The following is a 15,055-nucleotide window of genomic DNA, read 5'->3' as shown; positions in this document are numbered from 1 at the left end:
TGGGCAGTACATCTTGCCTGAGGAGCCTGCTACAGGCACTATGGAGTTGACTGGGGATATGGAACATAAACATATAGGAGGAAACAAATACATATCTATTTTGATCCAATTAAATGAATGTTACACAAGTAATCGTGATAGGAATGCAATGGTGAACTAATATTTTGTGGACAGGCTTCTGGAAGAAGTAAGATATTAGCTGAGCCTTGAAGGTAGAGTCTGGAAATGTAGAGATGGGGAAGAGTTCTGTAGGGAAGGAAAGAATCAGAATATATACACATCATAATGTAGTGGAAAGGGTGCATCCAAACAGACTAGGCATCACCACCCAAACTCTGGTGATGCCTCTTACTAGTTGTACAACTTTAGATCAGCTACTCAGTCTCCCTTCTCTTCTGTGAAATGGGGGACAATGATATTTACTTTTTAAGATTATTGTAGGTCTTAGACATAGCCTGTGCAAAGCAGCTAGGATAGTTTTTGACACATGGTTAACATTCAGTAACTGATATCATTAGAAGTATAGTGTAAAAGTTAAAAGCATGGGATTTGGAGTCAGACAGGACTCACTTGAATCTCTTCTCTCTCATTTACTTTGTAACCATAGTCAAATTACTTAACCACTTCTAAGCCTCACTTAGCTCATCTGCAAATGGGGATAAATTGGTAGCTTTGTTGTGGGGTTGTTTTGAGATTTAATGAGGTACTGTGAAGCATAAAGTAATGAGCTTGTCGCATAGTATGCACTCAGTACCATTAGCCATTAGGTTGTTATTTTTATTAGTATAACTTCTCTCTTCTTCTTTGATATTTCCTTTGTGATTATTCATATTATTTCCTCCTCTTCGTTCCCTACTCGCTTCATCTACCTTCTTTCAACAACATTTATCAGTGGCATTTGTAGAGACTTAAAATGGAGACTTGAAAGAACGTAGAGGTAGAGAGGAACTGGTCAGTATCACATGTCGAGCAGAACACCAAGGACAAGATAAGAAAAGGACAGGTAGGCACAGATAAATACAAATGACAGGAGCATAAACATATATACAACCTTTTGGATGAGTCATCCTTCCTAAGGCCACTGGAGATTTTTTTTTCATAAGGGAAATTCAGACCTACTACTCCCTATGTTAATCCAATGATTTCCTATTTCCCAGAGGATAAAACCCAAACTATTTTGAATTGCATTTGAAATCCTTTCCAATCTGTTGTCATTCTGTCCTACTAGATATTTTTCCTGCTACTTCCCACCATGCACTCCATAGTTCAGTCACTTCAAAGTTCTTCCTCTTCTTGGAATGTAACCATATTCTTTTATAAGTCTCAGCCCTTGCACATCTTGGAATGTCCTTTTTTTTTTTAGTTCCACCAGACAAACTTCTCGTTCTGAGGACCCGGTTAAGTGAGTCTTCTGTAATGTCTCTGATCCCTCCAAAATGAGGTATTTGTTCCTTCTTCTGGGCTCCTACAATATATCTCTCTAGTACCTGGTTTCTTATCCTATCACTTTTCAATGGTTTATTTTCCATTTATATTTCTTGCTAGACTGTGGACTATGGGAAGTTGCTGTCTTATTTATATGCCTCTGTATGTCTGTCTGGCAGTCAGTATGGTACTTGACACAGTGCAGGTAGTCAGTAAATATTTGTAGGCTAAATAAAAGAGGTAGTAGACACAGAACTGGCAACTTCTCTGGTTCACAAGCCAATTTTAGTATTTCTCCTATTAGGATTGCCTTAGAGTCATAGGCTAATAAAATTTCAGTGTTAGAAACATACCTCATTTTACAGATAAAGAATTGAGGCCAGAGAAAAGGGATTTTCTTTTCTTTCTCTTTCAGGTCAAACCATGATTCTGTTTCCTTCAGAACACTGTGGCAAAATATCTACTACTTGAAAGGAAGCTTATTGAGAAAAATCCTGCTAATTTCTTTCCCTCTTATGGCCTGTCTTCCAGATAATTTCTCCAAACACTTCTTATTTAGGTGTTCTTTCTAGACCAGTAATTGGGGCATAAGTTGATGCTCTGCCACATGAATCGATGTGCATATATGTATATTTTAGTCATGTTGTGTTCTGTTCAGCTGCTAGATGTTCAAACCAACTGGGTTTCCCCTTAGTTACCCTGTTTGTTTGCTGTAACACTTTCCTGTTGGTAGAACTATTTGTTCTTTCATAATAAAATTGAGAATTTTCTTGTAAAATATATTTTTAAGGTAAAACAATGTAATGATTTGTCCTGGCATTCTATAATTTTGAAAGTCGTTGATGGCAGGAGAATGGCAGAGTGGAAGGATGTCTCCTAGTTATAGTTTTATTAGTAATGTGCTGATGTTTAATGGTTTATCAGGACTGAATTTATTTGAAAAGAAAACCATCTAATGTGGTCAGAGTCATCTTTTGTTCACTATGGCTCTGGCCCTTTTTGGGGAGTAAATCAGCTTTTTATGTATACATTCTGCATGGGAGCTGTAATAAGTGAGCACATGTTGCAAATGCTGTGACCTTCAGTCAACTAGAGAAAGATACCTCTTCTAATCAAAGGCAAAAGCCACGATCTTTCTTGTTGTAACTTACTGTTGACACAAGAAAGGCCAGAGAGATTGACATCAATCTCTATAGAAACCATTAACCAATGCTGAATAAATCTGCAGCATTGAATCCATATGCATGCTTGCTTTTATTATTCTTGACCTATGGGCACACTTCAGCATTTTGTGGGCTTTGTTTTAAAAGGAATGTTTAAAATGTAGCTAGTTATTATGGGATTTCGTTGGTGAAATAAATTGTTTGGGTAGTCTAAATAAAAGAATCCGTATTATTTTGCATCTACTAAGCATTATTTGTTTAGGTGTGGCTTGGTTTGATTCCAGATTAACACACAGCGAAGGCTGTCACTTTAGCTGGGTGTAGCAAAAACCAAGTAGTTTTATACATGTTTTCCAAATGATGTGCAAGCAATGTGTCATTTGATTCTAATTGTGACTTTATTGGCTTGTGGTCCCTCTTTTTTATTCTTTAAAGCATTAACAATGACTGTGTTGGCTGAAAAGACATACGTCTTTAAGAATTCCATGGATGCCCAAAACTCAGTTGGTTATAAGTACTAACAATTGCCGACCGTACGCATAGCAGAAATAGGCTCTGTAAATCAGAGCTTCAGTGCTCTGGGCCCCTCTTCCTTAATTCTCCCGCACAGAAATCGTATTTCTAGTTGAGGAGGGTGAGAAAACAAAAATGCTTTTCATTTCATTCTGTGCTGTACATTTTCCAGTCTGGGTGACTAAAGCTGGCCAGGGTGCCTATTTTTGGAAAGAGGAATTAAGATACTTTGGAGAAAGTAGTGCACTGTGTGCTGACATTCCAGATGGCCAAACTATAGTAGTACCAAGCCCAAGTTTTTGAGCCTTTCGTGCCAATGATGACCTCATGAGGTCCAGCCTGGAGAAATAGAGACATAGTTCTCCAACAATGATGAAGAATGGCTTCTTCCTTTCATATTTCTATTGAGTGATCTCCAGTGTCCTCCTCTTTTCCTGTCTCTGACAAAATTAGCCTTTTATAATTAACAATTGTTAGTTTTTTGGCTTGTCTTTCAGACTTCTCTTAGAGTCCCTTTCACCCCATCTACTTATTGTATCCTCTCTACCAAACAGAAAAACTTGTGATATTTTTCTCTTTGGCATTCCTGTCTTTTCCTAGCAGGCTTTTTTAATGGGGACTGTGGGAGATTTTACACTTGATTTGTTGAATCTGAACTCTTTGCTGTAAACTCTCACCACACAGAAGAAACTATCTTTATAAATGACAGAATGGACCTGGCCTGAATGGCGCTTTGTTTACTGTTTTCCTAAAAGGGGCCCCTCTATATTTCATCTGTCAAAGTTGCTTTTCTTTCTTTCAACAATGCTTGATTGTTTTCACAAAAATTCAGGTTCCATAGACAGGAGAATTCTGTATTATATTTTCCTGCCAAATTCCGATCTCTGTTTTCCTTCCCCTGTGCTCACAAAGGGCTCATAACTTACTGTCAACTGTGAGGCAAACCACAAAGCTCCACTGTTGCTCAGCAAATAGGCTCTATTGGATGATGGCTTGACTAGCTTGTAAAGTTTGCTTAACTGTAGCAGCAGTGGCAGAAGGTATGTGGGGTACTGTATCTCCCAACAGGCCAAGAGATTTCACTTCTTTCATTTACTTTTATGTTTTTAACTCCTTTAATTGTTGAACAAAGTTAACAGTGTTTTGTTTAGCAAATTAGATGTTGCTTAAAGTTATGGCTACAATTGGTAGCCTGAGACTTGGCAGAGATTAATTAGCTGTGGGGTTGGGTTTTTTTTTTTTTTGGTTGGCAGTCAGAGGTTTCTTGTGATTTGGGAAGGTGTCAAAGGTGTTATGCCCTCAAGTTCTGAAGTTCTGGCTGATGTGGTAAGAGAAAGCCGGATTGAAGAGTGGAAGAGCAGCCACTTCATGTGAGTGATTTGTGCTTCCTTTAGCTGTCACAGGTCTTGGCTGTATTACTTTACCTTTTAATTTTTCTAACTTCAAAGCCTACCTGATTGGGTGGGATGATGGCTTGTTAAGAAAAGCTTATGTTATGGTAATAAGGTAATAACTTGAAAAGCATTTTTGCATGACATTTGTAATCTTGCTAGGGAATTGCAACAGACTATTTAAAAACAGATTTGGTTTTCCTGAGGGTTGAATATGCATACCTTTATTTGTAGCATCTCGTAGATTTTTAACATGTGATTATTTTTTCTGTATAATCTAAGGTCCTGAGTACTATTATCTATGAGGAATCATAGATTCCCTACATGAATCTTTTCAATAAAATCAATCTTTCCAATATACACGGCTAGTTTCTAATATATGCTGCATCTGATAAGGTATTTTATGCACTATGGTAAAAGATGTTTTTACTAATGAAAATATTTAATCATAATAAACATTTCAAAGAAACACAACTGACAAGCAGACCACTGGGTAATTGCTGATGTGTTTTTAGTAAAAACTTAAAATTATTAATGTTCATAAGCTGCTATAACTAAGCAAGACTGGTATTACATTGAGATTTATAGTATTTAATGCTATAACTATGTATTGAAAGTATTATTTATATAAAACTATAGTAAATTAAATTGATGATTGGCAAGTGCATTAAAAATAGTGCTTTATCAATGCTTTTCAATTTACTCCTTTTTATTCTGCGATACATTTCTTTTGAATTTTTCTGAGTAACACACACCTTGAATTTGTTTTCCATCATGCCTGTCAAAGTTCAAAATATTAATTTGTTTCTTTCCTTATCCAGCTTTCCTAGATACCTTATTGTTTGTGAGTTTGGTCTTTAGGCAAGTTTATCTTGATGATGGAACTTTCAGCTTCAAATTGTGGAAATAGTGATCTCAAACTACACATGGAATAGTGTGTCATTGTTCTAAGCTGTGGTACAGTTAATAATACCTATTTTGTGATAATGAATTGACCAGAATACCAAACAGTTAGTCTAGCAAATCTATGACTCCTCAAGTTGATTTTCTAAAGTGAATTGTGAGAGGAGAATTTTAAGGTAAGCTGCTTTCAATCAGCTCATGAGAATGTGCTGGGGTTCTTTAGCACACTAGTAGCAACTTGATTTTAGACCTGATTTAGAAATAAAAAAAAATTGTGTGAAACAAGTAACATTTTGGAACATTTAGTGTTGGGCCAGGGGACAAGAAAATAATCAGGCTTTGAAAGGTATTCATGTATTTCATAGGATAGGGTAGCTCAGACTTTTTATTTATTGTCAAGTTAATTTAAGCTCTGGTAGCAATTTTAGTATACTGCAAGGCTGCTTCTGTTTAAAAATTAATTCTGAGCAAATGGGTTACAGTCTCCAAATACTTGGACCGTTTTAGTTGAAAATCAAGGAAAGAGGTTAATAATAGGTGGTTTGAATAGGCACCTACAGCTCAGGACTCTATTGTCCTTAGGAATACAGTTATCAGCAGCAGATGCTGTAGGCTTTGGTCTTCCCTGTGTAAAAAGTGATTCCCTCCTGTCCATACCCCTTTTGAGAAACAGTAACAATATATTTTTACCCTGTGCTTTTTATTTTCTTGGCATGGTTCTTGTCATTAGTTCACTCAGCACTGGGTCACGAGTATATTGGGACTGGAAAACTTATATTCCGTGGAATTTTTATTTATTGTGATGTGTAAAAATTCAGAATCTTTTTCTTTAAGGATTTTTATTTGTTTTTGTTTGAGTCAAACCATTTTTCTGTCAAGTTTTCTTTAAAGAAAGTTAGCATTTGTTTCATAACTACCAAATACCAGGTATTTGCACATATATCAAATTAATCTCTTCACAACAACTTTTCAAGGAAGATGTGTTGTCCCTAATTTTATAGATGGGTACATAGAGACTCAGAGAGTTAAGTAACTTCTGAAGTTCACAGACATAGTAAATGAGATTTAAGTCTTTCCTCTAAACCTTTCCATTATACTGTACTTTTCCTTCTGGCAATAGATCCTGGTAAGACTGGTAGCAAGCAGTTTTCCAGTTCTAGGCACCATGGATGCAAATAAAGTATTACTTTTGAAGAAATCTAAAAAGCTGGTAGATTAGGCATGATAAATGTAAAAGTTTTTCAGGGGACTACTCAATTTTGGGAAATCGTGAGGTGGAGGTGGTGGTTATATGAGAAGAAAGAACAGGACCAGATAAATAATGCAGGATTCTTTCCTATAACTAACACCACAGCTTGGGAAAACCAGAAATTCTGTACCTTGGTAGGTGTGCAAATATGTACTTGGTAAAGAATCCCTTAAGTATGCAAGACAGCAGGTAGTCATACTTGTCTTTTATAATGATAACTCAAACAATTCTGTGCAATGATTCATGGAAACAATTGGATTCTCATGTTCTCCTGGAGCTGTTTATGATAATTCCAGCAAATGCAAGTGAGAAATTTAAAGCAAATAGCTATAAGAAAGGGAGGAGGTGGTGGAAGTACAGAGGGAGAAATACAAGATAGCAGCACTTTAGTTATTTGTGAAACCAGACTGTTTGGTGTGTATAAAAAAATGTGGAAATTTGGGTTGGTGGTAAAAACCTTTCTTCAGCTTTCACAGACAATTATAATTTATAAGAATTCATGTCCTCATATGAGAGGCTTTTCTATTTCTTTTCCTCAGAAGTTAGGATATATGTAATGTTATATAGTAGTCATATTTTAAGAGGGTATCTAAATTACTCTGCATTCCCTGAAATCAGCTCTAGACGGGTAGTGTGTTAAATACATATTGTTCAAGCTCCTCATCTTGTTTTCTCTCAAGGCTGTTCTCAACACCGACTTTTGTAGTGAGGCAGCTCCAGTTTTGTCTGATATAGCTGGTGTGGTTTCTCTGGTCAGAGATGGAAGGTAGAAATTGGATCTCATATTTCTCTGGGCCTTGAAATAAACGGGCAGTGACATTCTTATTTTATTTCATAATTGTCTGTGTAAGAATATAATTAAATGTTGATCATCTAGGCTAACCAGAAATAGCATGCTAGGAAAAGCATGGATAGTTAACAACCAACAAATATTTGTTAGAAAATTACTGTGTAAAAACTGCAGTGAACCTCTCAGCCTTGTGTGTCAGTAGCTTTAACTACTTCCTCAACCAATTTTGTTGTCAAATTGCCCAGAATGACAGTTAAAAGGATTGGTTAGAGAATTACCTGCTCTATGTTTCTCTCTCTTTTTTAAAGTTGTTAACTAGTAATTACATATCTCAAACTGTAGAAGTACACAGAAAAGAAAAAGATAGCAAATCCTTTTACTAAGCTCTGATTAAATGAGTATTTAGAATATCTAACCAGAATATTCAAAATAAAATTCTACAGGAATGGTATAAATTAGTAAAGAATAATTCAGATAATAATTGAAAATAGTTAATAATTTATTTAATTTAGATTTCAGACACTTTTAATTCTAATAGCATCTGCCCTGGCATTAGACCAACCTGAGTTGAAATTTTGCCCTCTGTATTTACTAGGTATGACCTTAAGCAAGTTTTCATTTTTATTGTTTTAATAAACAGTTTTGTGCCTTGGCTTTCTTATCAGTAAACAGGGATAATGACATTATTTAACTTCTAGAGTTGCTCTAAGAACTAAATGAAATAATACATGTAGCAGTGCTTAGCACAGTGCCTGCCTGGTACTTTCTAAGCATCTAGTAAAAATTATCTATGTATCTTTTCAACCATCTCTTCAACATCCATCCATCCTTCCATCCATCCATCCATCCATCCATCCATCCATCCATCCATCCATCCATCATCTGCCCATTGGTTCATTCATTTATCCATCTTTTTTTATGTTTCTGACAACATAAATTGATTATTTTGGGAGGCTTTCTTTGCCAGGGAATATGCAGAACTTTTAAAATATGAGGTGAATTTATTGTCCAGAGTGTGTGCAAAGAGGAGACACCCCCAGAAACCAGTTTATTTTAAGTCCTTTTTCATGGCTACTTTTTTCTGGTTGAAGATAACACCCTAAATTTATTTCTGCCTATTAATTCAATAATATTTAAATAATTGGGAAGTATTTACTGAGTGTTTCTTTTCACAAAACATTGTTCTAGGTATTGTGGGAATGCAGAGAAAGCTAGGATTTTGTTCTCACCCTTGAGAAGTTTGTAATGCGGTTGGGGTTACTTAGAAAATATAATGATATTATACATTTTTAAAAGATTATGTGAGGTAATATCCATTAAGTGTTGAATGAGTGATATAAAAAGTAATTTCTCACAGATCTTATTAGAGGTGTTTAGAAGAGGGGTAGATCGTAGTTAACTGGAATAGTCTCAGTTGGTTTCCTAACACTAAGAAAGGAAAGTGAGGAAAATAGGGAGAGACAGGCAGAGCAAAGGCTAGGAGGCAACAATAAGTGAAGTTTGACTGGTGAAGATAAATGTATAAAGATTGGTTGTATCTGGATGGAGGGCCTCAAGTGCCAGGGTCAGGAGTTTGGACTTTATTTTGTCATCAGGGGAGAGCCACTGATGTTTTTTGATCAGGAGAGTGGCTTGATGAAGGGAGTAGCAGTTAAGATTGATTTGGTGGAGGAGATACTAAAATAGAGAAAGTAGTTTAGGGTCTGTTGTAAGAGTTTAGGTATGAGGTGTGAAAAAGCCCTGTGCTAAGGTGATTATAAGTATGGTAAGAGAGATGAGCATAAGAAACATTAAAGAATAGCTGATGGAGCTTCATGACTGGCTGGCATTGAGAAGCAAGGATAAAAATGAGGAGGTGGATAGAGTGTTCATGTTTTGAACCTTGATGATTCTGACAGTGGTACTCTTCTGGGTGTGGATGAATGAGGGGAGGTATTGAGGAAAATAGTGATGAATCTAGTTTTAAGGTGTTTAATATGAAATTGCAGAGCATATCTTGGTATAAATACTTAACAGTCATTTGAGGACTGTTGGATTTCTGGGAGATGAGAGAGTTTAGTGTTGGGGATATGGATATAATAATCTTATGACTTAATGAGATGCTTGATAAAAACAGTATAGAGAAATAATAATGTTTAGATTGGCAGTATTAACATGGAGTGGTATTTTCTGTGATTATCTATTCACTTTAATTTAAAACAATAAGCTATTTGCCTATCTCTCCCTCTCTGCCTTTTCCTCCCTCATTCCCATAGTATTGATTGTCTACGATGTGTTGTGCACTGTGCTGGGCACTGGGGATCCAGCAATGAACAAGACAGATGATCCCTGTCCTCATGAAATATACAGAATTAACTTGTTTTTTAATTAAACAAAATATTTTAATGAGTTCTCCTTTTACCCATTTACCATGAGCTTATGCTATGTAAGCATTTATCTCCCAGGGTCTGAAAGATGTTCTCTGACAAGAAGTTTCCTTTTCTTCCTCTCGTTGATACTTTTTATTTTAGTATATTGTAATAAATACTCTGTAGGAGTATAATTTCAGGAATTGATTAAATTACTCATCATCGAAGTTTAGGAAATACTGATTGCAATCCCCTTTGCCTGGGAGGTTTTTATTGTGCTGAGCTTATAAGAAGTGTCTCTTGGAAAAAATTGTATTATATTATTTGAAAGTTCTAAGAACAAGGAAAAAGATGTTTTTCTAAAACCGTCTTATTTCTTACACCCAGACACTTCTCTTAATGATGTTAAGTTTATCTCAAATCAAAATAAAACGTGCAGCTAGAGACTGGACTTCCCCTTTCTCCTGTCGCTTGCTATCCTTGTTTTCCTTCTGATTTAGCCACCGATGTTCAACCAATGTCTTCATCTCATTCTTTCCTCTACTCCTTCGTAATAAAATAGAGGAATGGAGAAAGAGGAACACAATGCAAGACTGAGGAACACCAGTTGAGACTGATACCAGATGAAAGCATTATTCTAATGTCTGGATTTGTATTCTAAGATTCAAGCTCAGGAGAGCCTATGCTCTTGATGAGCCTCAATTCATTTCACTGTCACCCTGGTGTAGTCAGTGCCTCCCCCTTTTTTGCTAAACTGGTCTATTTTTGTGTTAAATGATCATAAATGATGTTATTTAGAACAGAAGTATCTGTTCTAAAATTGGAATGGAATATTAGGCATATCAGGCATTAGCTATAGGAAATATTTCAAAAATGAAATGGTTAAAATGGGAATATCAGGCATTAGCTGTAGGAAATATTGGTAAAATGGCATATCAGGCATATGGTAAAAATGGAATGTCAGGCATATCAGGCATTAGCTGTAGGAAATATTTTCTTTCTTGCTTGCTTTCCCTTCCTTCCCTTCCTTCCTTCCTTCCTTCCTTCCTTCCTTCCTTCCTTCCTTCTTCCTTCCTTCCTTCCTTCCTTCCTTCCTTCCTTCCTTCCTCCCTCCCTCCCTCTCTTTCTTCTGTTTTCTTTCCTCTTCTTATTTATTTATTTATTTTTTTGACAGAGCCTTGCTCTGTCACCCAGGCTAGAGTGCAATGGCACGCTCTTGGCTCACTGCAACCTCCACCTCCCAGGTTCAAGCAATTCTCCTGCCTCAACTTCCTGCAGAGCTGGGATTACAGGCGCGCACCGCCATGGGTGGCTAATTTTCATATTTTTAGTAGAGACAGGTTTCACCTTGTTGGCCAGGCTGGTCTCAAACTCCTGACCTCAAGTGATCCACCTGCCTTAGCTTCCCAAAGTGCTGGGATTACAGGCATGAGCCACCTCAGCAGGCCTAGCTGTAGGACATATTTTCTGATAAAAATGACATTATTGATGGAAAAAGCCCCTATATTTAGAGTATTTGGAGAATGATTAGAGTTTTTGCTGTATTAGAAGGAATGATATAAATTTGAATGTCTTAAATCTTGAGTTAGTTATGAAATAAAATCACTTTTCTAAGAGAGCTTTTAAAATGCAGTTTGTTTGGAGCATTATCTATATTAATTATATTCATTTTAATTTGTATCTTAGGAATCTTTGGAGTGCGGGAGAACCATGTCAAATTTTCAGTCCTTTAATATTAATTTAGCTTCAGGTTACTGAGATCACTTTGGTAGTGAGCCAATATGGTCACCAAATTTGGATGAGAATTCTAGATGCTGAGTGTCTGAAAAACAGTTGTGGATATGTGTCCTATGCTTGGTTATTTTTCTAAACTTGTGTAGAGATATTAAATCACTTTCATGAGATGAATTTTCAGCATCAAAAATATAAGCTACTTTAGAAGACGAAAACGAAGCGTAACTCTCTGTTAAAGAAAAATTAAGACAAAAGCTTTTGAAGTTGAATCCTGCCTGTCCTTTTCAACCTTCAGGAAGGTTGCTAGGCTAGAAAGACATCTCTAAAAACAAAGTTTTTATAATGGAAAATGCGCTGACATACCCTTTAATGATATAGGTTCAAATGGCAGTGATATAATTTGTAGGTCTTTGTGCTTGGAAATGTCTGGAAAGTTGTAGTGCTCTTATTAATATTTGTAGTCACTTTTTATGAATTAGTATTTCTTGTTGTTTTTCATTTTTATTTAATTTAAGATGAATAAATCTTATTATTAAATAACATGAAGATTGCATCATAGCCTTCAGGATTAAAATGCACTCCTTTTTTGGGGAAGAAGATAGATGTGTTTCCTCTGTTGAAAAATTTAGATTTGATATTTTGTTTTCTTCATGGTAATTATGTTTGCACTTTGCTGATCACTAGTTGTGCATTATTACAATGGAAGGTGACAATTTGATTGTCTTCAATTGGAGAAACAAGTAATTTTATATTCACTAAGCTGTCAGGTAACACTAACTCACAGTACTAAGAGCTCCTGGCAATGCAGCTTGGCACCTATATTTAACTGCTTTGATGCTTGTGTAACCTCTGCTGAATCAGAAGTACTTTGCCTGCTGGAAATGATTTTCAGGCTTGTACAATGAGGTTTTCATTAAGTAGACAAACTGAAAATGAACTGCAAAGCCATGGTTGTTTTTCTCCTCCCCTTTTACCTTCTCCCCTTTTCCCCTCCTCTTCCCCTCCCTTTCTACTCTCACTCCCTTCCTCCCTCCCTCTTCTTTCTCTTCTTCTTGTCTGTCTTTGAATAGGAACCTGAAACTTATACCTTATTTCATCACATGAAAGAGTGGACTTGGTAGATTGCCTTATTTAGCTAAAGGAGGACCTCAGAGATTAGTTTCTTTATATAAATTTGTTCAGTGTTTGTGTGAATTTTCATATTTTGAAACAATCTAAAGTATCAATATTCATTTTTCTCTTTTTTTCTGGAAATATTGAAGAGGGAAATTCGAGTTAAGGATGGAAAAGTATACAGTGACAATTTCCTACACTTTGTCTCTGAGAAGTTATTGTTCTGGTTTATGATTTTTATTAATATAATTGGATAAGATATCCTGTACTTGGGCTTCCATATTAATGGGCCAGTTTCACGCTGACAGAGAGATGTCTGTTTATTCACTTAAAAAATTGTAGTTCTCATTTTATATGAAGAGGAAATTCAAAGTGAACTTACATAAATAAATTCATTCTGCTATTATTTTAGACAGCTTTCTTTCACTCCAGCCACACAGAGGTCTTTCGTTGAGCTATAAAGTCATTGTGCTAGATTAAAATCCTCTAAGTTAGTGTATATTTATAGTAGCCATTGTTAGGTTTTACTCTTATTGTTAAGTCACTGAATTTATTTATAAAATCTGGGCCTGGCTTTCCAAAGCAAAAATTCCAAAAAGTTATTGGTAGATAAACTGTGAGAAGACCATATTATTTATATCAAGCAAAAAGTATAGATAGAGGTTACATGAAGTCAAGTTGTTTTGATCCCAGGAAGAAACCAGATACTCAGGGACACTTAATAATTATAGGTTTTCCATAGGCAGTCAGTCAGCAGGCCAGTCATTAGGCTGGCTGCCTGTCTCTTCCAGCAGATACTAACCAATTAGACAGAGGTAGTTACGTGATGTAACATTATCAGGAGAAACAATTCATGAGTCAAAGCATTCCAAGACATATGAGCTCTAGTCCAAAGAACAGTCTTAAGCTACATAAAGTGACAGCAATATTGTCAGCTAAATATAAACTCTAGAAACACAAACTTTGATGACTTAAGAAGAATCTGTTCCAGGTAGTTCTTGTTTTGTAAGAAGCTCAGAGGGCCTTTGGAGACAATTTTGGTGCTTTGCTGTGAAAAATTGGACCCTTAGAAAAGTCAGAATCCATTAATTTAAGCACTTTCTTAGACACACTTCAAGGGCTTCAAATGTATTTCATTTACCTCATCTCCATTGATTTGACAGCTAATTCTAATCAGTGAGTTTTCTTCTAATAGTTACTGTCCTCATGTGTTACCATATCTGTTCTGAAAGTGCTGCTACAAACTCTAGAAGATAGGTTTATAACTTTCCAAGGTAATTCTGAAAACAGTTACCTTCTTTTCACCTGAATTTTCTTAATTACTTAATGGAAGAAATAGAAAAATCTGGCAGAAGCAGAGGGAAGTTTGGAGGTGGATTGGGGGAGAGGAGGTGGTGGTGTTGTATAAAGTAATACAAATAATTAGTAAGCACCTTCCGACTTTACTGGAATGAATTGAGGAATGTTTTAAAAGGAATGTCTTCATTTTAATGTCTAGAATTAGGATGTACCATGCCATCCTCCCTTCCCCAAGATCCTTGAATGTGGAAATTAGAGATAGAAGAAGAGGGTTTTAAAATCATTCTTTGCCCTAGGCTGGGTGGACTGGTGTCCTTTGTAGAGGTTCCTGGGTATTGTGCATTTTGGCAACTAAACATATCTGTTACTCATGTTCCTTAAGATGAGAGGCACTGTGATATATTTTTGGAAAATTAGTTGTTTATTTCTCAATATCAGCTCAAGTACAGCATTATATTAACAGTGAATTATCTGATGAAATGAGTCTACCTTGGTAGCCTGGGGCTGAGCTGCAAAAATAAATGGGAATGTTGGCCTGAAGTTTTAATTTTTTTGAATAAGTAGAACAACTCTTAAAATGTTGCTTTATGTTAAAAACAGGACTTTTTTTGAATAAATGTAACACACCTGGAAAGTGAATGCCATTTGATAATAATCATAAAAATAATGGAAATATTTTCAAAAATTCAGTTAAATATATTGCTATGATGAATTCAGTGGCTCTTTTTGATAATTATGTAAGCTTCAAATGACAGTTTTGAAAGATGGATACTTTTCAAGCTATAATAAAAAAATGTAATTTTGAGTGATTATGCCTTATGAGAAAGTTTAAAAGTTTGAAGTTGTTTAAAAATAATCCTGACTTTAAACACATAAAAATAACTGTTTTTAAAGAATAATGTCAAATCAGAAAAGTTCTAGAAAATATGATATTCTGAGATAGAAGACTTAATGTGCACATATCCAGCATTCTCATCATTTTATAAAGTCTTGGGCCAACTAATTTTGATTTATTGTTGCAGAACAGAAAATAAATTTACTGTCTGAGTAAGTTTGTAGTAGGCCAAACATTCAGACTTTGTACTGGTGTTTTGGAGTAAAATAATTATGACCTTTCTAGAGGTGTT

The 15,055-nt window shown here is 35.6% G+C and overlaps 1 protein-coding gene across 6 annotated transcripts in view, besides 1 other annotated feature; it reads left to right on the top strand.

Moving 5' to 3' along the window:
• Positions 1-15,055, top strand: part of SOX6 (SRY-box transcription factor 6) — a 772,029-nt gene that overhangs the window by 377,913 nt on the left and 379,061 nt on the right. The window contains exon 1 of one of the 6 annotated variants that reach the window (NM_001367873.1): positions 4,019-4,471. The exons of the other annotated variants lie outside the window; for them this stretch is intronic. The gene's annotated coding sequence lies outside the window, so the exon portion shown is untranslated. Of the gene's footprint in view, positions 1-4,018; positions 4,472-15,055 lie in introns of those variants that run through there. 6 annotated transcript variants of the gene reach the window in all.
• Positions 3,021-4,334: an enhancer, noted in NCBI's record as "VISTA enhancer hs717". NCBI's record gives its function as "enhancer in: dorsal root ganglion[4/10] | trigeminal V (ganglion, cranial)[3/10] | cranial nerve[3/10]" and the evidence as "EXISTENCE:transgenic organism evidence [ECO:0001131][PMID:17130149]".

The sequence above is a fragment of the Homo sapiens genome, chromosome 11 (genome assembly GCF_000001405.40).
Source record: "Homo sapiens chromosome 11, GRCh38.p14 Primary Assembly".
NCBI lineage: Eukaryota > Metazoa > Chordata > Mammalia > Primates > Hominidae > Homo > Homo sapiens.
Note: the sequence above shows the minus strand (reverse complement) of the source record. Positions and strands in the feature narration are given on the sequence as shown.